A 25862-nucleotide genomic window follows, 5' to 3' on the forward strand; every position below is an offset into this window, starting at 1 on the left:
TGGGTATCTAAGATCAAGTCTCCTTGAGTAGTTACAGGACGTTCAGCCTTCTTCTTGAGCCAGTGTTGTAGATTGTGTTTTTTCTAAAACTTGGACTCTCTTGCCGAGACTTTCAGAGTTTTACTGGCATGGAGATGAAGCTCAAGTATTTTCAAGATTTTTCAGTGTCTCGGGTTCACAGTGACACCCTCTTTTCTAATGTTCGTCTGTGCCTTTGTTTTTTCCTAAGTCTCACCAGAGGTTGTCAGTAACATTTGTATTTCTAAGCGACCTTCAGCTTGGCGATCCACTCTGTTGTATTTTTGGTTTCTACTTAATGTCTGCTCGTTATTTTCAGTTTCTACATTCTTGCTGTTTATTTTACTGTTCTGTTTATAACTTTCTGAGGTGGGTTAATTATTTTGTTCCCAGCTTTTCTTCTTTTCATGTGTATTTCATGCTCTAAATTTCTTTCTAATCTCTGTTTCAGCTGCATTTCCCCTAATTTTGTAGGTTATTTTTTCATTACCATTCAGTTTTAAATATCTTACAAAAGCGTGTTTATTAAAACAAAGTGTATGGGGTTTACACTTTTATGCTGATTTGTATTGTGGTCTGAGAACATCCTCAGATGAGTTCATTTGTGGGAAGTCTGTGGAGACTTGTTCCATGGTCCACCACATGCGTTTCTAGAAACGTCTTGCGCCTGCTCAGAATGTGAGTTCTTCGGGTTTCAGTGCAGGCTGACCCTTGTCCAGACCTCCCACTGCGGGCTCCCAGGGCCCCTCCCAGAGTTCTTGCTCTCTTCTTTTGTGCCTCTTTAAAGAACTACCTTTGAGGCTCTGCTGATAGTGTCTTTCATTTTAAAATGGCTTTATCTTTTCACTGAATGGAATCTTTTAACAACTTGCTTTCAAGTCTGTTCTGCCAGCATTTAACTGGGCTCTGCTGGCTTGGTCTGGTTACCTTTGCTTACTATGTTTGTTGAGTCCTTTCACCTGCATCTTAATGTAGACTTTGCTTCTGTTGCATCTCCTATGAAAATATAGCTGAATATGTGCTACCAGTTTAAAATTCTTTGTCTCTTACCTTGAGATTTTAGTCCATTTCTGTCTAGTGTAATTGCTGGCCTGCTTCAGTTTCAAGCCGCCATCTGTCCCAGCTGTTCCATGCTCCTGTGTCTCCTTTGTTTGGCAGAATTATTTTATCATTCTCTTTCCCTCCTAATACTTTAGAAGTTATTTTTTCTTCAAAACAGAAAAGCCACATACAAACTGGAGAAATTGTTGACAATGAAAATAATAAAAAAATTTCTCATATAGCAAAATATAGGTCATAACCTATATTAATCAACATTAAAAAGACAGCTGCCTTTGAGGGAAATGGGAAAAAGCATAAAGATAGTTTATGAAAGAGGAAGCACAAAGGCCAGTGGTCATGTGTAAAGGCAGGTGTTGCATTTCCATGATGAGCTGATGTGAGGCCCCGTGGGCAAAGCAGTATAAGGAGCGGCTCTGGATGTCTGGGCTGGGGGTCAGTTGTGCATCCAGAAGTGGAGGGAGCATCTTAGTATCTTAGTATTGGAAATTTATCCTAAGGAGTTGGTTGTCAAGTGTGAAAATTATACACAAAGCTGTCATAAAAGGACTGCTTATGGTAGGCAAATGATACAGAAATACAGGCCTGATTAAATAGGTTTCTTTTTCTTCTGCTTAATTCAATGAGATAGTATGAATCCATTGGAAATAATAATATGGACCAATATTCATTGATGTGGAATGAGTATGTTACATACGGTTGCATTAAGAAAGCAAGTAACAGAATAGTTCTATAGAATGCCCACTGGTTGCGGCTGTAGTTGTAACTTGTTTGAGCATTCATGTATAAAGAGGTTCACCAAAACATTGACTGTGATTCTGGGAATGAGATTTGGGTGATTTTTACTACCCTTTCTGTACTTTTTGAGATTATTATAATAAATGTGTCACGGTAAATATGTTTTCCATACAAAATTTTACATGGGGAAATAATATTCTTATCAATGTAATGGATTGAGAATTTCAGAGAAGAAAAGATCTAATATTACTCATGAAGCAGACCAGTTTCAGCTTCTGTTGTTTACAAAACCTACAGCAGCTATGTTCACATTACAGCATCCAAAATTTGTCATTCTAATCTGTGTCCTTAGACCTGTTCACAGAAACGATATGTCCCGGCTGCAATCTCTAAGGTGGATGCACAGGGCAGCTGGCCACTCTCAGAGCCAATTACCCTGATTGGATTTCTGCAGCACCCTGAGGAACAGCTGAGTCAGCAGCCCAGCCTTCCCCTGCAGAGCGTCTGCACTCGCCCTGGGTCCTGGAGGTAGAGAGCGGGCAAGCTCTGGTTTTTCAACCATGGTGCTTCTTGCTCCGCCAGGAAATAGGGCGCTGGCTGCGCCAGGGGAGGCGGCTGCTCCTGTGCCAGCTTGAGGGTCCCGTCTCTTCCCCACTCAGCCTGCCTTTACCTACACATGCCAGTTCCACCACCACACATTCCCTCTGCGTGGCTCACTTAGATATTACGGAATCTTGTCCCAGACAGTCCTCCTACAAATACTACCAACTGAGTTAGTGTTAGGAAGTTAAAACAAGTTTCCCATGGAAACCACATTCCAGCTCTTGCTTTTACCTTCCTGCTGGGACCGGGGTGACCAGGAAGCTGGAGTGAGACTCTGGGGCCCTGAGGGAGAGCCCTCACCACAGCTGCTCACCCTCCATCCTTTTGGGGCTGTAAATAAATGTTTGGCTGACTGCTCAACTCCCACATAGACCCGTGGTGCTGTTGCTCCGAGCTGACTTGAAGTGTGGGGGCTCATAACTCTGTTCTCAATCCTGCAGGTGGAGTTTAGCCACAGGTGGCCCATGCATTCTGAGGAAGTCTCTGTGTTTCAACTTAGGACAGACCCCCATGGCTGGCCTGGCGGGGACCCTGCAATGGAACATGAAGCTCCCTGAGCTCTCCCTGCTTCTTCATCTACCTGGCCCTGAGGGTGGGGGGTGGTCGCCACTAGTCCTAGAGACATGGGGGGAGGAGTGCCTATTGTTTTGGTTTTTTACTTGCTTTGTATGTGCATACCAAACACCTAGTTTTATGGAAAATCAGATACATTTCTCCAATCCTGTAGTAAGGCTGAAGTGTGGGTATTACACATCTGGTAGTCTAGGCATAAAATGAATTTGGAAGGTGTGTGCTGATCTCCTAGGGCTGCCTAACAAACTAGTGCAAACTGGGTGGCTTCAAACAATAAATCCACTCCCTCACAGATGCCTAAAATCTGAGACCAAGGTGCTGACAGTGCCCTGCTCCCACTGAAGGCTCCAGGAAGGTCATTCCAGCCTCTCTTCCAGCTTCTGGTGGATGCTGGTGTGCTTCATAGTCTTTGGCCTTCCTTGACTGTCCTCAACATTCCTTGGCTTTCCTTGGCCATTCTTTGCTTTTCTTGGTGTTCCTTGGCCGTCCTTGGCCTTCTTTGGCGTTCTTTGGTCTTATTTTGCCTTCCTTTTATTTCCTTGGCGATCCTTCATCATCCTTGGCTGTCCTTGACATTCCTTGGCCTTCCTTTGCTGTCCTTTGCTTTTCTTGGTGCTCCTGGGCTGTCCTTGGCCATTCTTTGACCATCCTTGGCATTCCTGGGCTGTCCTTGGCCGTCCTCGGCTGTCCTTGGCCATCTTTGGCTGTCCTTGACATTCCTTGGCCATTCTTTGACCATCCTTGGCATTCCTGGGCTGTCCTTGGCTGTCCTCGGCTGTCCTTGGCCATCTTTGGCTGTCCTTGACCTTCCTTGGCCATTCTTTGGCCCTCCTTGGCGTTCCTCGGCCTTCATTGGCCATCCTTGGTGTCCTTGGCCTTTGTTGGCCTCCCTCGTCCTTCCTCAGTCATCCTTGGACTTCCTTGGCATTCTTTGCTTTGTGTCTTCATCGCTTTATTCTCTGTGTTCGTCTTTATGTGGCCTTCTTCCTGTGTGTGTCTGTCTTCATATGGCTTTATAATAGACACCATTCATTGGATTTAGGGCCCTCCCTAACCCAGTATGACCTCGTCTTAACTAAATCTACAAAGACCTGATTTCCAAACAACATCACATTCTGAGGTTCTGAGCAGGCATGAATTTTGGTGGGCCGTACTTATCCCAGTGTGGGAGACCAGGGTGTATGTCTCAACCCTTCTCACTAGAATGCAAACAAGACCCCCAGTTTGCAGGTATCAGACGTTCACAGACTTGGAGCCTGCTGAGGAAGGGGGACTGGAAGTCTGGAGCCACCAACCTGTTTAAGGTACTTTTAACTGTTTTCCAGAGTAATGGTGACCTGGAAAGGAGAATAATTAGACTCTTCTATGACGGCTGAATGTTAGTTCTGAGCTGGCACTGATGCCAGGGGACCCAAAACACCACGGTGGCCTCCCCTTCCGTCCCTGGTCATGTTCTTTGCTCCAAAGCCTTCACTATCTGATTCGAGGATAGTAGCTCTTGCTTTCTTTGGTTAATGCTTGCCTGATGTGTTATTTTCCACCATTTTCCTCTCAGCCTGTATACATCCTCATATTTGAAGTGAGTTTCTTGTACACAGCACATAGTTTTTCTAATCTACTTTTTCTATTTTTTTTCTATTTTTTTTTTTTCTTTGAGACAGAGTCTCACTCTTGTTGCCCAGGCTGGAGTGCAGTGATGCCATCTCGGCTCACTGCAACCTCCACTTCCCAGGTTCAAGCAGTTCTGCCTCAGCCTCCTGAGTAGCTGGGATTACAGGCGTGTGCCACCACACCCAGCTAATTTTTTGTATTTTTAGTAGAGACAGGGTTTCATGTTGGTCAGGCAGTTCTCGAACTCCTGATCTCGTGATCCGCCCACTTCGGCCTCCCAAAAAGTGCTGGAATTATAGGCATGAGCCACCGCGTCAGCCCTTTTCTATTCTTTTCATTGATGTCTTTGTACTGTTTACATTGAATGCAATTATTGATATGTTAGGGCTTACATCCACCTTTTTGTTTTTTTGTTCTGTGCTTAGTGTTTCTTTTAATTAATTACTTTAAATGGACAAAAAATAATTGTAAATATTCATAGGATACTCTGTGATGTTTTGATGACACACACAGGGAAGGATTCATACCTGTGGTGTTCTGAGCGTCTCTGTGTGTGGGCAGCTCTGGGAGTTATCTTACACATGGGCATATACGGCTTCCTGATGCCACCTTAGTAGGGTTTGAGGTGTGGTGTTGCGGCCTGGCGGAGGTGGAGTCCAGGCTCCCCCGCTGGCCTTTGCTGGCGTGGGTGGGGTGCAGTGTGGCCCCTGGTGACTGGCTGGATGGAGCAGTTCCCATCCGGACATTTCTCATCCTGTTATACTGCTCATTCCCTGGGTCTCCGGCCAGAGACAGCAGGCTTTTGCAGGACATTTTTGGGGGTTGGGGGGTGCGGTTTGCATCCATTGGTCTTTCTGTGTTGCTGGCTTCTTCATCTGTCAGGGATCTATGAGGAAAAAGCCCAGGGCTCCCCAGAATGCCATTTCTCAGGTTCCAAGCCCAGCGGGGCTGCCTCCTCCCCTCCTCTCAGAGTGTCTGTCTTGTGCTTGTTTTTTGTGCAGGGTCCAGGGTTCACGGTTGCACTTAGCAAGAGGCATGGGGAAAGCTCATATCCTCCACATTCTGTGAGCAAAAGACCTGGCCATTCACTGTTTTGGTTTTTGTTTGTTTGTTTGTTTGTTTTTTGCGACAAAGTCTTGCTCTGTCACCTAGGCTGGAGTGCAATGGTACGATCTTGGTTCACAGCAGCCTCCACCCACCGGGTTCAAGTGATTCTCGTGCCTCAGCCTCCCGAGTAGCTGGGATTACAGGCGCGCACCACCACGCCCGGCTAATTTTTGTATTTTTAGTAGAGATGGGGTTTCGCCATGTCGGCCAGGCTGGTCTCAAACTCCTGACCTCAAGTGGTCTGCCTGCCTCGACCTCCCAAAGTGTTGGGATTACAGGCATGGGCCGCTGCTCCCGGACTGGCCATTCACTTTTAAAGGAAGGAAGCATAGACTTAGACTTTGCTGTGCCTGGACTTCTTGGGGATGATGAAAGGTGGCTGGCAGGTCAGGGGCCTGGTGGAGGCAAGAGCAGCTGACCTGGGAGAAGGTCTGAGAGGGTGTCCTGTGTGGGCAGGTGCGGAGCGTGTATGTCAGCTGCTGAGGGATACATGGGACCAACAGGGAGGTATTGTTCAGGTGTGGGCTCTGGCCCCCTAGCCTGCACCGTGGCCCCTGTGCCCGGGGGTCACTGAGGCAGGGGAGCAAGCGACGCATGTCCTGATGGGGGCGCCCTTCCCGGCCTGATCCAGCTGAACCGCGCCACGGGTCCCAGTGCACTTGCAGCATCCCCAGCACTCCTGTGAACCGCAGAAGCCTCACCTGTCTCCAGGGACCACACAGCATTGCTGACGCCGAGGGCCCCATTTCGAGGCGACGTGCACACTCTGCAGAAGCGTGGTCCTGCGGTGTCCCCTCCCAGAGGCAGGCGGGATGACAAAGGCTCAGCTGAGGTGTCTCTGCCCCAGACAGTGGCACTGAGTTGCCAAACATTGGATTCAAGGGCCTGAGGGTGGGGAGGGAAGCAGGACCTGCCCTTCTTATTGCCCCATCTCGGGACACACTTGGAGTTTGTGCTTCTCATTTCTGCAGCCTCAGCTGCTGGCCCCCTAGTCTTGCTTCCGCCCCGTACTTCAGTGAGGCAGCCATGGAGCTGCAGTTGTGAGGGCCGCCTGGCCACTTTGGAGCCCTTGTGCTGGTGGGCAGAAGGCAAAGAAGAGAGCTGCTTAGGTGGGGCGGGGCGGGGTGGGGGGCAGTGACAGAGGGTCCTGTGAGGACCTGGGCACCGCCAGGTAAGGAGGTGCCTGGAGCCCAGCACGTGTCTCTGCTGCCACAGTGATGATCATGGGTACCTGGGGACCAACAGTGGCCGAGGCCCAGCAACCCAACTCTCAGGGGTGAAGCTGGTTCCCCCACCCGGCAGGCGATTTCTCCGGCTGAGAGTGGCCATGGAAGATGAGGCACGCTACTCACACCACATGGTAACCTGCAGCCGCATGCACTGGGAGGCCCTGCAGAGCCTCCTCTGCTAGCTCTCTATGGTGCCGTGACCTGGGAGGGGCTCTGGGCAGAACAGGGTTAGTGCCAGGCAGGAGGAAACCAACAAGGGCAGCAGTGGACTCCAGTGGCCACAGCTCTCTCTCGGGCCCCAGCTTGGTACTGCTGCCCTTGGGCTTCCCCAGTTGTCCCCAGGCAGTGTGTCCCCCTCTCCCCTGCCAGTGCTGGGCGCTCCAGCTCACGGCTCGGCTTTGCAAGGTCAGGGCCCAAGACGTCCATGGGAACCTGCAGCACCTGCTTGCTTACCACCTGCCCGCTTGCGGCCAGGAAGCGTGTGTGACTGTCTTGGCAGTGGCATTTTCCTTTGTCCCAGCACTGGTTCCGCAATGCATTTTGTAAGGGTCCTCCAGGGGCCACCTGGGGAGTGGCCAGGGCGATAGGGTGTCCTCTGCACTCTCCGTTCCTGGGTGCTCAGGGCATCCTGGGGGTGCCTGCCTCTGCCCGGCTCTCCTTGCGGGGAAGCCACACTGAGGCACCGACACTGCCCGTTGTGAATTCTGCGACCACTTCTGGTAAGTTCTCAACAAGTAGGCGTAGCACAAAGCAAGCATTCGTGTTCTCAGATCCCAAGTTGTCTTTTCTACAAAAGCCAGTGACAATTTAGAAACGGAGAAAGTGACCTTGCTCTCCAAGAAGCAAATGAAAATAGTGGGAGCAGCATCCTTGCTGGCCTTCTTAGAAAGCAGTGTATGAATGTATCTTCTCATGCTTTCAACAGTCACCACAATTTAAAAAATACAGTATCAGGAGAACTAAACTGACCCAGGTGATTATGTTGAAGCATCTTTTTTTTTTTTAACTTCAAGTTCTTTTAGCAAAGTGAATCCATATTCCACCTGATTATGATTTATTCCAAGAAATCAATCATCTACGACGGATGAGCTGAGCAGGAGATGTCGTTCCAGAGTGAATTAACTGGTCAACAGTCAACCATCGTTTTCCATTTTGTGTCCAGACCCGGACACTGGTGGTTCCCAGCCTTGGGTTTCAGAGGTCAGCACAAGGAAGTCAGGAAGCAAGTTTCCTCCTGTGGTTGCTTCTGTGGCCAGGGAGGGGCGTCCATCTGGGATTCTCATCCTGTCACACAAGCATGGCGTACTAAGCCAGCAGGCAGGGACGCCATTGCTTCTGAATGACGGTTATTTTCAGGGAGGGACCCTTGGCAGTCCTACACCACCCTTGGTCACAGGTGTGTTTCTGGTTCTGCCGGCAGCAGCGTTCAGGAGAGGGGTGGGGCCCTTAGAACCACCGCCCACCCCAGCAAACCTGGCCCCAAGGACGGCCTCGCCACATCAGCCTCACGGCTCCGGGGCTGTCTCCACCACGAGCCAGTGTCCACAGTGCCCGCTGACCTGGGGAGTGGCTTGGCTTGGCCTGGCCTAGAAAAGACCTTGCCTGGCTGGAGGCCCCACCTCAAGGGTGACCTCCTGGGTGGGGAGGAGGTATGCCGGGGTGCTCCCAGTGCAGCATGTGTGACTGTTCAGCCTTTCTCCCAAGACGGAGCCGCCCAACCTTTAGCGTGTCTGCTTCCAGATGGGGAGGCCCAGTCCCTGTGGAAGTGACTGCTCTCCCGCGGCCCAGCCTCGGGACCCTCCCGTCAGCCCTCTCCATTCACGCTAAACTGCGCTGTTCCTCAGGCTAATATCACCATTACAGTACTAATTTATTAGACACAGGGAGATTTTAAATTTCATTTTAGTGCAGTTATTTAAAATTTAAAACGATAACGTCTAACTCAATTAAATTTCAGTTGATTTATTTAAAGAATTGTAAATGCACGAAGTCTAATAACATGAGTGAGTCATAAGAACTCTAAGAACAGCTTCATCTCCATGTAGGGGACCTGCTTTCGGGCTGGTCTTGTCAGGAGGTAACAGTAAGAAAGATTCAAACCAGGCAGATCCGGGATTGAAAACTGATCCAGCCTCAACTTCCTGGACTATTTTTTATCTACCTAAACTTCTCATGTCTTACAATAATTACGTTTTCTTTTTTACCTTTCTTTTTGGGGATTTCTGGCACTTTCATCATTTAGAGGCTCTGGTGGAAGAGCCAGCTAGCTGTTCACCACTGTGGAGAGGACTTTGAAGGCACGGGGGCCACGCCTGGCATCCCCTGCCCCATCACGCTCCTCGCGTGGAGCTCTGTTTCCCAGCTTGACTTTGTGCCTAGATGAACCGGCTGAAGGATGCGTGACTTGACTGCGTAGATGAACCGGCTGGTAGCACACTGCGGCTCCTCTTATGGAAACATGCTCCTGGCCCTGTGGCCTGTGGGGCCCCCCCTCCCCGGATGTTCGCATCATCTCGCCAGGTCAGCTCAGCAATGTCGTCTAACAGCCGGGACTGATGTGGTCTGCATGGCTGAGCCCCCCAGATCCGAGTGTTGAAACCCTCGGTGGGGTTATGAGGAGGCGGGTATGAAGTGGTATGAGGAGGAGGGTCCCTCAGGAATGGGATTCGTGCCCTTATAAAAGGGACTCCAGAGAGCTTCCCGCCCCTTCCACAAAGTGAGGACACAGCGAGAAGGGGCTGTCCGTGAACTCGGAGCTCTCAGGGGACACGAAACCTGCCGGAGGCCTGATCCTGCGTGTCCTGGGGCTCTCCGTGGGCATTTCCTGTCTGCGTGGAGAGGCACAGCCGCAGCGGGAGCCGGAGCAGGTGGTGTGCAGGGAGAGGCGGAGCCGCGCGCAGGGAGGGGCGGAGCCGCGCGCAGGGAGGGGCGGAGCCGCGCGCTGGGAGGGGCGGAGCCGCGCGCTGGGAGGGGCGGAGCCGTGTGCAGGAATGAGAGGGGCGGGAGAGCCCGATTTCACTGCTTGCGCCCTTGGATGCTGCTTGAGCCCGGTTGTGGGTTCTCATTCTGTTAGGCAGATTGGGCTTGGTGTTTATCCCATTCACTGGATGGAATCCTGGTGGACTGAGGTCTGGCCCCCGCTTAGGAATGCGGAGATGGGAGCAGGTTAGTCCTGTGCTGGCTCCGAGGTCGCCCTGAGGTCGCGCCCTGGGCTGTGGGCTGCCCCAGCTGCTTGCTTCCAGGAGCACCATTTTCCCTTGCAAAGAAAGGACGCCACTGTGGTTATTGCACGTGGCTGTCGCCAGACGTTTTCTGAAGCCAGATGAAGTGAGCCCACTACTTTGGGGAGATCAGTCAGCTCTGTTTGTCGTCAGAACATCTGAGCATTCAAACAAATGCTAGAGTTTGGGGAACGAGTATCCCCCACTGTGAGTTTGGCAGTTTCCCAACATGTACAGACTCCTGAGGCGCTCGGTGAGAATGAGGATGAATGCGACTTACTCACCTTGTGAAGTAGAATGTGCTGACTTACGGAGATCTGCTTAGCTAAGTGACCCAGTATCTGCTAATGACCAGTGCAAGCTGTTACAAAATTATGCGTGGTTAAAAGAGTCAAAGTGCACTATGAGGCTGGGCACAGTGGCTCACGCCTGTAATCCTAACACTTTGGGAGGCCGAGGTGGGCGGATCACCTGAGGTCAGGAGTTTGAGACCGGCCTGGCCAACATGGTGAAACCCTGTCTTTACTAAAAATACAAAAAATAGCTGGGCATGGTGGTGCGCGCCTGTAATCCCAGCTACTCGGGAGGCTGAGGTGAGGCAGAAGAATCGCTTAAACCCGGGAGGTGGAGGTTGCAGTGAGCCGAGATCGCGCCACTGCACTCCAGCCTGGGCGACAAGAGTGAAACTCCGTCTCAAAAAAATAAACAAAGTGCACTATAGACCAGTGGAGTTTAACACAATGGAATATGAAGTTCACTGGTATGTTTCAGATTTTATTTTTGGGACCAAGCTTTAGGAAACTGTAATTTGTTGAGTTTTAGTGTAATATCAAAGAAGAATCCAAATTCTCAGAAAATACTATAAAATAGATCTTTCTTTTCCAACTAGATATCTGTGTGAGGCTGGATTTTCTTTGCCTACTCCAACCAAAGCGACACATCACAGCAGACTGGATGCAGAAGCGTGCGTGGGAATGCAGCTGTTTTCCATGGAACCAGACGCTACAGAGACTGCAACGTGTAAAACACTGCCATTCTTTTCATTCCTTTGAATAATTTTTTTAAAATTTGCTATTTAACACGTAATAGTTTTTTATTTTAAAATGAATTAATACTTTTTTTTTTTTGAGAAGGAATCTAGCTCTGTCACCCAGGCTGGAGTGCAGTGGCCCCATCTCAGCTCACTGCAACCTCCACCTCCCAGTTTCAAGTGATTCTCCTGCTCCAGCCTCTCAAGTAGCTGGGATTACAGGGCACCACCGTGCCCACCTAATTTTTGTATTTTTAGTAGAGACAGCGTTGACCATGTTGGTCAGGCTGGTCCCGAACTCCTGACCTCGTGATCCACCTGCCTCGGTCTCCCAGAGTGCTGAGATTACAGGCGTGAGCCACCGCGCCTGGCAATAAATATTTTAAATGATCGGTTTTAATTCTAATAAGGTAAATATCAACGCACATTGCCCACATAAACAGAAGCTCTTTAGGGTCCTCAGTAATATTTACAACTGTAAGGGATGCTGAGACCGAAACCCTTAAGAACTGCAGCTTTGAAGATGTGTTTGTTCTCTTGAGGAGATTTTATTTTGTTCACTTAGGGACAGTTTTCTTCCCCAATTATATACATGTTTAAAATCTACAAAGCATTTGTGAGAACACTTGGCCAGGGCGAGCAAAATGTAAGTATGTGTTAAGTAGGAAAATAAATACCTTCTAAAAATGTGCAGTAACGCATTGGTGTCGCGTAATTTCCTTGAAGATGTTGATTGTCCTCTGAACTCAGGGTTATAAGGGGATTTCTCTGTGTTTCGTGGGACATGCCTTTTTATTAAATGGAGTTCTCTAAAAATCACATGAAGCACGTTGATAGCGTCCATGTTTTTGACAGATAAAAAGAGGAAACGTCTGCACACTGTCCATTTAAACCAGGGAAGGGCTGTGTTTGGTAACTCTCATATTGACCATCATCTTCAGTCAAATGCATTCCACTGAGTCTTTATACAGTCTCACTCATGTTCTTCTCATCTGGTTAACAATTAGCAATGCATTCATTTATTTCATGTAAATGTTCAAAATAAAGGTCACAATTTATTTCCCCCAAAACATGTGAGTCGTGATTTCATGGTCTGGCATGTGGTTCTGAGTTACTCTTGATATCCGAAAACTTTGTTCCTAGGCCACTATTTGCATTGCTATAATACCTGCATAGAGCTTCACAGAGAAAAGCAAGTTCACGCTGAAGGTGGAGATTCACCAGAAGAAACCTCCACAGGCACCAGAAGTGGTCCCAATGCCCTTGGCCCTCCCCTCCCCACCCCTCCTCTCACTTCCCCCTCCTCCACTTTTCCTCCCTCATCCCTCCTTCTCTTCCTCCCCCTCCTCCTCCCCAGTGCCGGCAGAGGCAGGCTACAGCCCTCTCCTTCCCTCCCACTCTCTGTAGCCACCTCTGCTTCCTTCTCCATCTCTGCGGCTCTTTCTAATATGTGTGGACCTGACTTCTGGGCGCTGATGGAAGCGCTGCGTGGACGCATCAGAACGAAAGCCAGACACGCTGACCATTTAAAGCAGAGTGCGTTGTTTTCTTGGAATCTGGGCTCCCAGGAAGGTGGCCCTTTCCCTGTGCTGGGCGACAGCCTCACCTGACAACCCCCCCAGGGCCGACTGCTCCCTGTCTTGTCATCTCTTCATGGGACATGTACTTCGGAAACAAATGTCCAGCACAGTCCTGGTGGAGCCCAGCAGTTCTCATTTCTCGCCTTCATTTTCCTGGGTGGCTCGTTATTTTACTGAGAGTACTTAGGGGTCGTTGGTCGTGGTGCTGCTTGCAGGCTGGTGTGTTTCAGTGTTTCCTGGCCTCTCCCCTGAGTGCGGGGACGGGAGGCACTTTATTAGTGTCACTGATTTTGCTGATGTTTCTGTTAATTTAATTTTATTATATACTGTTGAGAATGCCTTTTTCCTCTGCAAACACATTTGCATACTCCAAGTGAGTTACTGCGCCCTCATTAATGAATGGAGCTTGTTCTGCCGTGAGAATGGCCGTGGAGCGCCCTGGAGGTGCCCGGCCCACGATGGGTCGCTTCCAGAACTGTGTGTGCTTGCGCCAGTACTTTCCACTCCCTGTGTGTTTTCTAATAGGAAAAGATGTCACTTAGTGTGAGTGAAATTCCCTCCAGGCCCAGGCGAACATTCCAGAAAGGCATCTTCCCTGGTGCTGCTGGGGCAGGGGAGATGGAAGGAGATCCCCAGAGGGGGCCTGGGGCCTGGGGCCTGGCGCTGTGGATGAGAGGCACTCTGGGGCTGGCTGTGCTGAAGCAGCAGGAGCAGGTGGCTCTGGAAAGGGATTTGGAGGGGACACCCTCTCCATCCTCTCTGTGCCCCTCCCTGTTCCCAGCCCCCTTCCCCCGGCTCCTCCTCCTGCCAGCTCCTTGCTGGGCTGAACCTTCCCTGCCTCCGGCCTCTGTGGAGAAAACCCGGTCCTTCCAGCTTCTTGGAATGCTTCGGGCAGCTCTGGGTGTTGGTGTCTCATCTCTGTCTGGTCAGGGGGACTTGAGAATCTGTCCTTGAGGCCCGCAGGGGTGCTGGGGCTGCCTCCTTCCTGAGAGAGTGCCGTCTCCCTCGGGAGTGGGCTGTGCTTCCACTCCTGCTGTTGCAGGGGCACCAAGAGGGCTGCTTCAGGAGTCAGGTCAGGAGGGAGATCGAGTCGCTCCTCACCCTAGAGCCATCATCAGCTCTGTGGCAGGAGAGGATGGCACCTCTGTGTGCTCACCATCACCAGCCGCAGGGATTCCGGGAGGAGGCATCCAAAGGGAAACTTCCTTGCTGTTTTCCTTCCTTCTCACTTAAAAGGCACCTGCGGTTCCGAGAGCCTATTACAGGCATCTGTTTCCACTACACGGGTGAGTTTGTAACCAAACTGTAGTGTCTGAATCATAAAATTAGTTATTTCTCTAAAAAACCACAATCTTCCAAAAGCTATGTTTAGAAATACTTAAAGTAAATCCCTATGAGAACAAAACAAAACAGAGTAGCTTGTTTGTTTAAAGTAGCCCTCATCCCACCTGACTTGGGTTCACACTTCCTGGCTAGACCGTTGAGCTGTTTGTTTACGTGATGAGAGCCCAGACCCCCAAGAAACCTCAGAAACCCCCCGGGCACGCCCAGGGCTCAACTGAAGGCAAAACGCAACCTGCACGTGCCGCGGTGTGAGCAGTGCCAGGAGCAGCGATAAACTGTCCCCACACAGGACACCGTGTGCTTGAGGCCAGGAACACATCCCGGTGGCCCCTTCTGAGTACATCTGACCCATGTTCAGACCAGCTGCAGGGGCCTGCCCAGCCCAGGTGTGAACAAAGGACGGTGGCTTCTGATCTCCGCTGAGCACCTCGCGCTGCAAAGACTGTGAGGACCTGGTGCTGGGTGTTGCCTCCGCCTCCTCCGGCCACAGAGCCCACAGGGCATGGGCGTGAGTCCCTGAGAGCAGAGCCTGGCGCCAAAGCCCAGCTCTGAGAAGGAATGGTTGGGAGGCCCCCATGGCCAGGAGAGCCACGCTGGCCCATTTGCACACAAGTCAAAAATTGGAGCTATAGGTAAAAGTGACAGCATCGTGGACTGGTCCCATGACCGCACCTGCATCTGCAGCAGCCCCACTGTGATGGCGGGGACCTCCTTACTAATACGAAGGGTCTGCTGCAGCCCCACTGTGATGGTGGACTGTCTTACTAATATGAAGGGGCACAGGTGGGGCTTTGAACTCAGCCTCGGTTGAACCCCTCCGAAGGTGAAATTCCTGGAGTCCGGGCTCTCGGGGGTGTCCGACGTGTGAAAGCAACTCAAAGGCCCACAGCACATCCTCATTTCCCTGCTCAAGGGCTGTGCTGATTAACCTGAAAAACTGCCAAATGTGGTAGAAAAGGCTGGAGTTGAGAATTGGAGAGTTCATCACCGATCCTCATAGCTTTATCCTAAAGAGGGCCCCAGCCTCTTAAGTTGCATGCGTACACTGAATTTTGTGGCTCACCCGTTGGGGCCTGGCCTTCTCAGAGCTGTGGGATGGACTAGGGGTCAGTGGCCAGCGCAGCCTGGGTTCCATTTCTGTATCTGTCATGGGCAGAATGACGCCCCCCACATGCATATGTTTAGGTCCTGACCCAGTGCTTGAGAACCTGACTGTGTTTGGAGACAGGCCCTCTAAAGATTAGGGTGGGCCCTGATCCACTAGGACAGGTGTCCTTCTAGAAGGAGGTGAGGACACAGACAGGCACAGAGGCAGACCCTGCAAGGACACAGGGAGTCTACACGGTCAGGATCGAGGCCCTAGGAGGATCCAGCCCAGCCGCACCCTGACCTTGGACTTCCAGCCTGGGGGTTGGTGAGAGAAGCCCCTCCTGTGGCATATCCTTGGGGCCGTGCCTGCTCGCTAATCCAGGCTCGTGCGCCCTGCCTGTCCCTCCGGGTGGCTTCCCGTCTCTACCCAGGCCCCCTGCTGCAGAGCCCACCTAGGACCAGGGAGGTGGCAGGGATCCACCAGTGGGCCCCGGAGCCCCTTCCTATAGCCCTCTGTCAGGCAGGGATGTGGGACCCTCCACCTCCCGGCTGCTCCCTCTTCTCTGCCCTGGGCCAGGCAGTGGTGTCTCCCCCATCAAGTTCGCCTTTCTCCAAGTCACTGCTGGGAGCTGCTCCTGCCTCCCTGGGCGTCTGCAGAGCTGGCAGGGCTCCCACCACTCCGGGCATTCAGAGCTTCTTAGGCCTACCTCTGCCGCCTGTGCCATTTCGGATGCGGGGTCAACGTGTACCCTTCTTTGCACCTTTTAAAGGGTCCAGCCAGGACACCCGCCCTCTCGCTCCACCTGGCGTCTTGGAGTTCTGGCTTGAAACCCAGTTGAGGCCCTCAGCCTCGTGCCTGCCGCCCCGGCCCATCCATGTTTCCACGGTGGCAGAGGTGATTCTGGAACCACAGGCAGAACAGCGTTTTCTTTTCCTGCTGAAGATCGGAGCAGGTGCCCCTCCCTCCAAGTCGTGGGCGTGGGTTTGTGTCTGGAAGGACCACACAGCCCGGTTCCTCTCATTCCTGAGCTGGCACCTCCGCCGCCCGCTCTGCACTGGGTCTCAGACACCTGCTTGTCCTGCAGCCATCAGAGGGGATTAAAATTAACAGCAGCTCGGACGTGAGGGGAGACGGGCCTCAGACGCTGCCCCCGCCCATGGTTACCCTCTCACAGCGGGAGGCTCACAATCAAATTCTCACAAAAGGTCACATTTGCAATAAGTAAAAAGGAAATGCAGGTAATTGGTTCTGGAGACTGTTAATACCTCTGCGGGCCCTGAGAGGCGATCTGATGGAGTTGAAACCTTTTTGTTCAGGTAATTAAAAATGAGATTTCATTATATCTTTTAAAATGAGGGCAAGTGAAGTGTTTTCTCAGATGCTATGATGTTATTGAAAGAGGAAAATAAATCAGCAAGGCATGGCACAGCCTTGGCTCATAAATGGATCATGGCTCCGTCCCGGGCTGGGGGTGCCCATAGGAGAACTCACCCACAACCCCGAACCCTCCGGGCAGAGATGGAGCCTGGGGCACAGAACAGTGTGGACCCCACAGGTTCCAGAGGGTTGGGAGCGATTAGACCCCTCGGGATGAAATGTGGATGGAGAAATTGGCAGACTGAGATTCTAAACAAGTCACAGGCAGCCTCTTTTCCAGTGCGGGAGATTATTTGTAGACACTATTACGAGGTAAATGGAAGGGAAATGAGATAGTCTGCCCCCCGGGGCCTCATCTGTCCTTCCCCAGACAAAGGGCGACCAGTGAGGGCCGAGTCTTCGGAGCTGGAGGAGAGAGACAGAGACGAGGGGCAGGTCAGCTTGCCGGGAGACAGGTGTGGCAGCAGCTGACGGGGCTCAGACGTGGTGTCACGTAATCTCCATCTTCATGACAGGTCCCCAGAAAATCACGATGAAAACTTTGCATCGGGAAATCTCACCATTTATATAAACCAAGGCGAATGTTGCATCTAACAATAAAATACAGGAATGTATTTGAATGTTTTTTTGTTTTTTTTTTCAGTTCCAACTAAGGAGGCATTTGTGGGTGCTTTATTCACACCCGGATGGGAGGACGTGGCAGCTTTGTGGCTGGCAGGCTGACTTCCCACGTTCTTGGAGCCCACGTTGAGGGGCTAGCATTGCTCTAATGTCTGGGTAATTTTGAAGAAAGCTGCTGCGGGTGCACCGGGAGCCCTGTTGTGCGTCGGTGACCCCTCTGTGCTGCGATGGCCGTGTCCTGCCTTTGGTCACACAGGGTCCCAATGCTGAGGCTCACTCTGCAGACGCATTACCCTCACCTGAGTCTAGAGATGCCACCATGGGCTTCCCCGGTGGATTTGCTCACAAACGCTCTGGAGCTCCATAAACCTCATGGTTTTCTTTCATATGAAAAATTCTTTTTTGTGGTTTACAGGAAGAAAAATTCTGATGTTCCAGATCTTTCAGGCACATTTTATTGGTGAACATTATTCTTCACAAGATTCATTTAATTTGTAAATGGAACAATTAATTTCTATCCAGATGTTAGGATTAAAAACATAACTGAAGGAGAGGTCTTTTTGGCTTCAGTAAAAATGCTTATCAACAAAATCCCAATTTTATGTAAAGATAAAGTGCTGTGCCAGAAAAATCATGGCTTATTTTCTTGCATATTTCTCGTCATCATTTCCATTTCCAGCATTTACTTTTTTTATTTTAACTGAAGAGAAAATTAAATGCTCTACTTAAGTTTCCTCCTGTTATTTACAAGTTGTCTTCTTCAATCCGTGGGTGAGATTGGCTGCAAAGTTTGAAGAAGATAGCAAACTCTGCAAAGAGATGAGATTTGTGTCATTAAAAATAAAAGCCACATGCACGAGTCATCATTTTTCATCTTTCAGTGTGTTGTTAGTTTTGCTGAACCGTATACTTTGTACTAATAATGCTAATTTGTCTGTTACCTTTGATGACTGTTGAATGGAGCTGCTGTTCCACAGACAGAGGCCTGATGACTCTCCCCGTTCTTACCCTAAGAAGAGGCGGCGGGCAACAGCCCCCACTTTCAAGGACTGCGTGCCGGCCCCTCCTCTGCTGGCCCCACATTTCCTATTTTAGGGTTTTGCATTCTTTCCTGGAGGCAGCAGGTGACGATGACAGCCTCAAGGCCTCCGGGGCACTCGGCTCTGGTTGCGAGAGCTGTTACTGGCGATCTTTAAACAGCACTGGTCTGCTCTGGAGCTGCCCGTTCTGGGGCCCTCGCTGTCCGCGGGCTGACTGCGTGTTGTCGGGGACACTTGTGGACACTGTTTCTAGGCTGTTCTCACACCACGGCTGTTCTGTGTCCCAGAGGCCAGGCCCCTGTCCGCAGCCTGTCTCTTCCCCCTGGGGCCTTTCCGTGGGTCCCCATTGGGTTGGTCTTTCTCTCCTCTCTTCTCCCTCCACACTGTCCTGTCGGTGGGGCCCCCTGTCCTAGTGTCCCTCTCCAGCCCTCCCCCGAAGCCAGCTGCAGCTGGCAGGGCTCCCTGGTGGAGGCCTCCCTGTCCCTGCCCGTGTGGTTCTCAGGTGGGGGTCTTGTTTCTTGGTGGGCGTCTCCAGGGCAGGACTGGGTGTTCCTTCCTCTCTGTGGACCCCAGACACAGGGCGCTGACACCTGTGTCGGGTGATACTTAAGAGCGTTTTGTGCCACGGGGGACCCAGAATCGAGCTCGGCTGTTCAGTTGATTGTAGCCATGTCTGTAATAAATGGTGATGATCCAGGACCCTCGGGACAGTTTCTCCTCGAGCTTAAGGGGACCTTCTCAGGCTCCCCGAGGCTCTGCCTGGCTGCGATTCTGCATGGAACAACGCAGCTGCGGTGGGAGGCATCCAAGGAGCTGGTACTAGTGAGAAGTGCCCCCCCAGCACCCGAAGTGAGGTCTTTACAAGGGCCACGTCTGACTCTGCTCAGAGAGTTCGTTGGCCTGTGCTGATCAGCACACACCTGGGCTGGTGACCTCTGTCCCCCACTGCCTGGGCCTGGTGTCCTCCATTCCCCACTGCCAGTGCTGGTGACTTGCACCCCCCACTGCCTGGATCTCGTGACCTCCACTCTGCCGCTGCACGGGCCTGGTGACCTCGGTTCCCTACTGCCCAAACCTAGTGACCTCCACCCCCCTGCAACTTCCTGGGCCTGGTGACCTCCCTTCCCCACTGCCCGGGCCTGGTGACCTCTGCCCTCCACCGCTTAGGCCTGACAAACTCGGCCCCCTGCCACCCAGGCCCGGTGACCTCGGCCCCCTGCCACCTGGGCCTGACGACCTCTGCCTCCAGCTGCCTGGGCCTGCAGGGGTCAGCCAGTCTTCCCCCGGGAGGGGAGAGGCTCCCTAGGGCCAGCGGGTGGTTTGCTCCCTGCTCGGGGTTCTGGCGGGGCCTGCAGGGCTCTGAGCCCTGGAGGGAAGGGGCTCCTCTTTTCAGATTCACCCACAGGAGCCTGGAGAGTGAGCCGCCCCCACACTGGCATGCAGAGGCCCAGGGTCTCGCTCCCCACTCCTGGCCTGGCTTTTCCTGGAGGCTGTCCCTGGAACCCTTCAGGAAAGAGGAGGCATGTGGGTGAGGGGAGGACTCCTGCATTATCTCAGAACCCAAATGGCTCCAGACCTCTCCAGCCCTGCCCCAGGACTCAGCGCTCACTAATACCCACCTGCCCTTTGTCTCCCAGCCCCCACTCTCCCTCCCCACAGCCTTGGGAGGGTCCCACCTGGACTGAACTAGGGGCTGCGGCGGGACCCAGCCCCGTTCCTGCTTCAGCTCTCTGTCAACTCTCCGGAGCTGGGCAGGTCCCCTCGCTGCTGGGGGTGAACCTGTGGATATGCTGCTCTGTCACTCACACTGCCGCAGGGCCATCCAGCCACGGCTCAGGATTCTGCGCAACAAACACCTTGAACCCACTGTAATTAGCAAAATGTACCTTTTAACCCAATCCTGAGTCCTGAAGTGCAAATATAAATTCCAATTAACAGCCACATCTACTTGGCAAGCTATGCTTGCATGTATACATTTTTAAAAAATTACTTAAGATAAATGATTACTGGAACTCCTCATTAGTTTTAAGCAGAACTAAATGAATACAGTATTAAAAAAAATTAACCTGCCTTCTTGAAAATATTATACTAACTTCAAAATAGGAGAGGCTTCGTGTTAATGGACTGGATCCTAGTGTGTGGGAATTCAGTTCACCGGCTGCTCGTGTGAGAATCATACTGAGCACCCACAGAAAAGCCTGCTGTGGACAGTGCCGTACAGTTCACAAAGGCGCCGCAAACTATGAGCTCTGCTAATCCAGTCACTCGAGTCTGTCCTGTAACAGGGACAGTTTCTAGATTAGGTCAATCACTAAAAAACTTAAAATCTAAATCTTTTCTTTTCTTCTTTTGAGACAGAGTTTCGCTCTTGTTGCCCAGGCTGGAGTGCAGTGGTGCAATCTCGGCTCACCGCAGCCTCTGCCTCTCGGGTTCAAGCAATTGTCCTGCCTCAGCCTCCAAGGTAGCTGGGATTACAGGCACCCGCCACCACGCGTGGCTAATTTTTTTGCGTTTTTAGTAGAGACGGGGTTTCTCCGTGTTGGTCAGGCTGATCTCGAACTCCCAACCTCAGGTGATCCGCCAGCCTCAGCCTCCCAAAGTGCTGGGATTACAGGCGTGAGCCGCTGTGCCCTGCCACTTGTTTGGATCTTAAACCGCAATTCCCTCTTCTGTTCTCCTGGGATCACGTGATGCGGACGCCCCGTGCACGGTTTCCACCAAGACTCCCTGACGACCACAGCCAGCAAGCTCAGCTTCCGTGGAAATGAGCAGATGGTCGTGTGTCTGGCCTGTGGGTCAGTCTCTCCCCTAAAGCCTGGCCCAGGACGCGACTCTGAAGACGGGTTTCGTGTGGATTTTCCTCTCTGCGCGGGACTTTTCCTCTGCAGCTCCTAAGAAGTATTTTGGACAGTGACCTAAATACTTTCTCCGACAGAAAAAGCATGATCTGATCAACTGCGATTGACAAAGCATGGACTCATAACCCTGCTTCCGAAAGCATTGATCGTGGGTACGATGTCTACATTTGTGTGAGATCAGACCCGGCCTTCTAGAACCACGCAGTCAACACTCAGAAAGGATGGCACGACCATCCTCTGAGCGTGGCTGGCGGAGATGATGAAACCAGTTTTTAAACGGTGATTTATTTTAAAGGCAAGTGTTCTCCAGCAGCAAATTAGCAGAGAGAAGCCCATTCCTCCTATTTCTAAAAGAAAGAGATTTTGAGGGAGATCTTAGCTCACCTGAGGGGTTTGGATCAGAAAAATTCTGTGGCTTATAAAGTCGTTTGTTATTTTGCTGTGATTTTATACACAATGGAAGGGTGAGGAAAAGGTCAGCAATAACTCTGCGACTGCATTTTAGCTTGGAAAAAATGTAATATTGATCGATAGGAAAATGGAAAAAGTGCAACTATTAGCACCTTACTTGATCTTCTCCGACCTTTACCCGTCCGCGCTGGTTTTATTCTTAAATGTTATGCCTCCTGTTCAAAGGTTTGTCCTGCTTAGTCTTTTATTTAATTAATCCATGATCTTCCTCACTCTCTCTAATGTTGGGACAAGACCGGCTCCTGATTTCCCTGCTGTGCTCCCGAGTCTGGGTCACACACAACTTGGAGCCGTGAAAGAGCTGCCGTCCGCGGGCATTAACCCTCCATCTTCCTGCACATCACTGGAGGGAACCGCCGCGCAGCCCAGACAGCCACGCAGGTGGCGACTTCTTGAGCCCTTCCCCCTGCGGTGTCCCACGTGAAGCCCCGGGGAGCTGGAGCCGCCTCCTCTGTGGGGAAGATGGCTCCTCACCACCTGGCAGGGGGCTGACACCACAGACCCAGGCCCTGGTGCCAACTCCTGCTGCTCAGGGACTGAACATGGCCCAGATGGTCCTGGGTGAGGCATGGCACGAGGGGGTGCCCCACGTCTAGCAGGCACTGCTGCTCCGTGGCAGAGTCCTGGCCCTGTGTGCACCCCAGCCCTGCTGAGGCCTTCAGGAGGGGGGCAGAGATGACAGCCCCAAGACCTGAAGGTGGACTGAGCTGAGGGCGTCGGGCTCGCCAGGCCTTGGGACGAGTGTGTCGGCACCTGCTCTGGGTGGATAGTGTCCCCAGAATTTACATCCACCTGGGGCCTGTAATGTGGCCTCACTTGGCAACATGGCTGTTTCCCATGTAATCAAGGTAAGATGAGGCCCTACCGACTGGGACTGGTGGGGCCTTAAATCCAATAAGACCAGTGTCCTCACACGAGGGGAGTGTGGACACAGAGACATCCAGGAAGAAGACACTCACAAAAAGATGGGCAGAGATAGGCCAGCATGGCGACAGCAAGGCAACCCGAGGCCTGCCGGAGCTGGGAGGAGTGAGGCCAGCCGGACACACAGGCACGTGGGAAGCTGGCAGGCAAACTGGCCCCACTGTGGGGAGACATCGCCCCAAGGCATCTGAGATCCCCATTTCCAGGAAAGCCACCTGCACCTGCTTCCTCATTCGGTGCCACGTGAATTAGTGATGTGACTTTGTGTGGACGGGGACTGGGAGGCAAGGACGCAGGGAGAGGCAAGGACACGGGGCCTGGCGACCCCTGAGTTGAGGATTCCGCAGGCCCTGGGCCGACTCCCACTGAGGACTGAGGACCTGAGGCTCACGCTTCATCCCCAGCGCCGGCTCCCTGAGGAGGCCCCTCTGCACTCTGTCCCTCCTCAGGGGACAGGAGGGGGAGGGTGCAGATAAGGCACCGGGCCCCGGGTTATCTGGCTTGACCTTTGGAGAAGCCGAGAGGGGAGTGTTGTCACCCAGAGGAGATAGAGGGTCGCCTGGTGGGAGCAGCTTCCAGCCTTCCTGAGTGGTCAGGGGCAGGGCCCTGCGAAGACAGCCTGGACTGGGGCACTGGCCTGGCCTGTCAGCGCCATCCCTGCGCGGCTCCCAGACACCCAGCTGTGCCGGCCTGGGGCATGCATGAGCGCTCACGTGCCTTTGCTTCTGAAAGGAACTTGCAGGCTGGGCAGCCGCTGCTCCAGGGCCTGGACGGTCTCCACGTATGCAGAGGCACAGCCGAGCCACACACCCACCATGCAAGACAGGGCCTGGAGACCCGGAGAGGGGAGCCTCTTGCCACTGGGGAGTAAGGAGAAGACCAGCTGTTTTATTTAGACATGCAGTTTAAAATAATGATGGACACAAGAAATCACGTTGCCGGGCAATCGGCAGAATCAGATTGGCAGAATCAGCTTCTCATTGGGTTTAGTTAAATCTGGGTTATCTCATTTTCCAGGTAACACCAAGAATATGAGAAAGGCGGATGTGGCTTCTTCTTTAACCAAAAAAAAAAAGGGGGGGAAACTTTTTTTCTTCATTCGTTTTTTCATTCATGAATTTTTTCTTCATTCATTTGTGAACAAACATCACCTGCATATAAAAAAACTAAGAGAATCTCCACTTGCTCATCCCAAACGCAGACCCACGGAGCCCCAGGAACAGTATTGCTGTTTCATTTGATGGGAAGAATCAGAAAGCTGAAATTTTCCCAGATAATCATTGCTTTGTAATTCCCTGTGATTGATTTAATAGCAGAGTGGACAGTTCAATACAATTGCACCACATTAAGGATGACTTTCTGAAGGCGCAGCAGCGCGAGTCCCCACGTATTAATGTTTACATGAAAAGCACTCAGGGAGCTACAGGGTGGGTGGGAAAGACTTTGCCTCATCTGAATTTCAGGCAGTTTGGAAGCACACTAAAATGCACTCTATTTTATTAAGCAACCCACACTTGAGGGGCATAATTCATCCTTGAATTTCACTCCACAATACGAGTGACTTAATGTTACTGATTAGAATTACAACAGGGTTTTATATCACCATAAATGCACTTTGACAATATTTGTATAAGGCACATTTTATTGCTCATATCTACACGTGTTGCCAAAGTGAAATAATTTTTCGGGGTAGAAAATGCAAGCCACCACGCCCGGCCCGTGATTTATAATCTTTTAATGAGAAGTTTTCTAGCTTCTAAATTCCATTCTAGTTTAAACACTTACCAAAATAACAGAAAACATGATGCCCTGATAGGCAACAAGGGGGAAAAGGTGTTTCTCACCAATACAAACCTGTGCATCACCTTCAGAAATCTCCACTCAGGAAAAGGCGGCAATTCCAGTGAATCAAGAAACGTGTTTGCTATTTGCACGTCAAAGAGCAGCTGAGTCAGCCCCTGTAATAATACGAAAATCACTGTGCAAATACTTCACGGCCATAGGAAGAGCAAGATATTTTAAAACTAAAAACCCTCCTGTCTGTTGCGGTGTGTGCTGGGGGTGAGTGGGTCGTGAACTCAGGACCCTCCTGTCTGTTGCGGTGTGTGCTGGGGGTGAGTGGGTCGTGAACTCAGGACCCTCCTGTCTGTTGCGGTGTGTGTTGGGGGTGGGTGGGTCGTGAACTGAACTCAGGACCCTCCTGTCTGTTGCGGTGTGTGCTGGGGGTTAGTGGGTCGTGAACTGAACTCAGGACCCTCCTGTCTGTTGCGGTGTGTGTTGGGGGTGGGTGGGTCGTGAACTCAGGACCCTCCTGTCTGTTGCGGTGTGTGCTGGGGGTGGGTGGGTCGTGAACTCAGGACCCTCCTGTCTGTTGCGGTGTGTGCTGGGGGTGAGTGGGTCGTGAACTCAGGACCCTCCTGTCTGTTGCGGTGTGTGCTGGGGGTGAGTGGGTCGTGAACTCAGGACCCTCCTGTCTGTTGCGGTGTGTGCTGGGGGTGAGTGGGTCGTGAACTCAGGACCCTCGTGTCTGTTGTGATATGTGCTGGGGGTGGGTGGGTCGTAAACAAGTGGGAAAAACAGGAACAAGAACCCCAGAAAACCAAGTGCAACCTCTGTGGCTGCAGACAGAGGGGAGGCCAGAAATGCAGTAAAGCATGGATTTCAACTGGAAATGCTTTATGATTATTATTTTCTCTGCAGGCTTCACCTGATAACTCTATACCATGTGCTCCTAAAATGGTGATTTGTTTTTTCCCCTTTTCCCTTGAGAATCTTTGCTTTTAAAGTTATGCCTCAATTAGAAAAGCAGGACTTCGGCACGTTGGTGGGAAATGCCTCGTCTCCTGGGAGCTCTCTGGTTCCTCAGTGCCACCCTCCAGAGATCCTGCCGGTCACCATCTCGCGTTCTCCCCGTATAAGCATCACTTAGACACACAACACCTATTTTGTGTAAAGTAAAATATGCTGGGTTTTTTTTGTTTTGTTTTGTTTTGAGACACAGTCTCGCTCTATCACCCAGGCTAGAGTGCAGTGGCGCGATCTCAGCTCACTGCAACCTCCGCCTCCCAGGTTTAAGCAATTCTCCTGCCTCAGCCTCCCAAATAGCTGGGATTACAGGCGCCTGCCACCATGCCTGGCTAATTTTTGCATTTTTAGTAGAGACAGGGTTTCATCACATTGTCCAGGCTGGTCTCACACTCAGGTGATTCACCCGCCTTGGCCTCCGAAAGTGCTGGGATTACAGGCATGAGCCACCGTGCCCAGCCCAGCCAAAATATACTGATATTTTGAAGATCACATATGAAGGTGAAATAAAAGCAGGAAACACAGTTGATGAATTCTGTTTGGCAGCTATAAGTGCTGACACA

General features: G+C 51.5%; 8 annotated features.

Moving 5' to 3' along the window:
• Positions 9156-9671: an enhancer, noted in NCBI's record as "H3K4me1 hESC enhancer chr5:1827503-1828018 (GRCh37/hg19 assembly coordinates)". NCBI's record gives its function as "activates a minimal SCP1, AML or CMV promoter by ChIP-STARR-seq in primed H9 embryonic stem cells {active_cell/tissue: H9 hESC(primed)}" and the evidence as "EXISTENCE:reporter gene assay evidence [ECO:0000049][PMID:30033119]".
• Positions 9672-10187: an enhancer, noted in NCBI's record as "H3K4me1 hESC enhancer chr5:1828019-1828534 (GRCh37/hg19 assembly coordinates)". NCBI's record gives its function as "activates a minimal SCP1, AML or CMV promoter by ChIP-STARR-seq in primed H9 embryonic stem cells {active_cell/tissue: H9 hESC(primed)}" and the evidence as "EXISTENCE:reporter gene assay evidence [ECO:0000049][PMID:30033119]".
• Positions 9748-9857: a silencer, noted in NCBI's record as "silent region_15889". NCBI's record gives its function as "represses an Ori minimal core promoter by ATAC-STARR-seq in GM12878 lymphoblastoid cells {active_cell/tissue: GM12878}" and the evidence as "EXISTENCE:reporter gene assay evidence [ECO:0000049][PMID:35858748]".
• Positions 12940-13633: an enhancer, noted in NCBI's record as "H3K4me1 hESC enhancer chr5:1831287-1831980 (GRCh37/hg19 assembly coordinates)". NCBI's record gives its function as "activates a minimal SCP1, AML or CMV promoter by ChIP-STARR-seq in primed H9 embryonic stem cells {active_cell/tissue: H9 hESC(primed)}" and the evidence as "EXISTENCE:reporter gene assay evidence [ECO:0000049][PMID:30033119]".
• Positions 13634-14327: an enhancer, noted in NCBI's record as "H3K4me1 hESC enhancer chr5:1831981-1832674 (GRCh37/hg19 assembly coordinates)". NCBI's record gives its function as "activates a minimal SCP1, AML or CMV promoter by ChIP-STARR-seq in primed H9 embryonic stem cells {active_cell/tissue: H9 hESC(primed)}" and the evidence as "EXISTENCE:reporter gene assay evidence [ECO:0000049][PMID:30033119]".
• Positions 15440-16433: an enhancer, noted in NCBI's record as "H3K4me1 hESC enhancer chr5:1833787-1834780 (GRCh37/hg19 assembly coordinates)". NCBI's record gives its function as "activates a minimal SCP1, AML or CMV promoter by ChIP-STARR-seq in primed H9 embryonic stem cells {active_cell/tissue: H9 hESC(primed)}" and the evidence as "EXISTENCE:reporter gene assay evidence [ECO:0000049][PMID:30033119]".
• Positions 20954-24445: an enhancer, noted in NCBI's record as "VISTA enhancer hs2567". NCBI's record gives its function as "enhancer in: heart[7/7]" and the evidence as "EXISTENCE:transgenic organism evidence [ECO:0001131][PMID:17130149]".
• Positions 22554-23541: an enhancer, noted in NCBI's record as "H3K27ac-H3K4me1 hESC enhancer chr5:1840901-1841888 (GRCh37/hg19 assembly coordinates)". NCBI's record gives its function as "activates a minimal SCP1, AML or CMV promoter by ChIP-STARR-seq in naive H9 embryonic stem cells {active_cell/tissue: H9 hESC(naive)}" and the evidence as "EXISTENCE:reporter gene assay evidence [ECO:0000049][PMID:30033119]".

The sequence above is a fragment of the Homo sapiens genome, chromosome 5 (genome assembly GCF_000001405.40).
Source record: "Homo sapiens chromosome 5, GRCh38.p14 Primary Assembly".
In the NCBI taxonomy this organism is placed as follows: domain Eukaryota; kingdom Metazoa; phylum Chordata; class Mammalia; order Primates; family Hominidae; genus Homo; species Homo sapiens.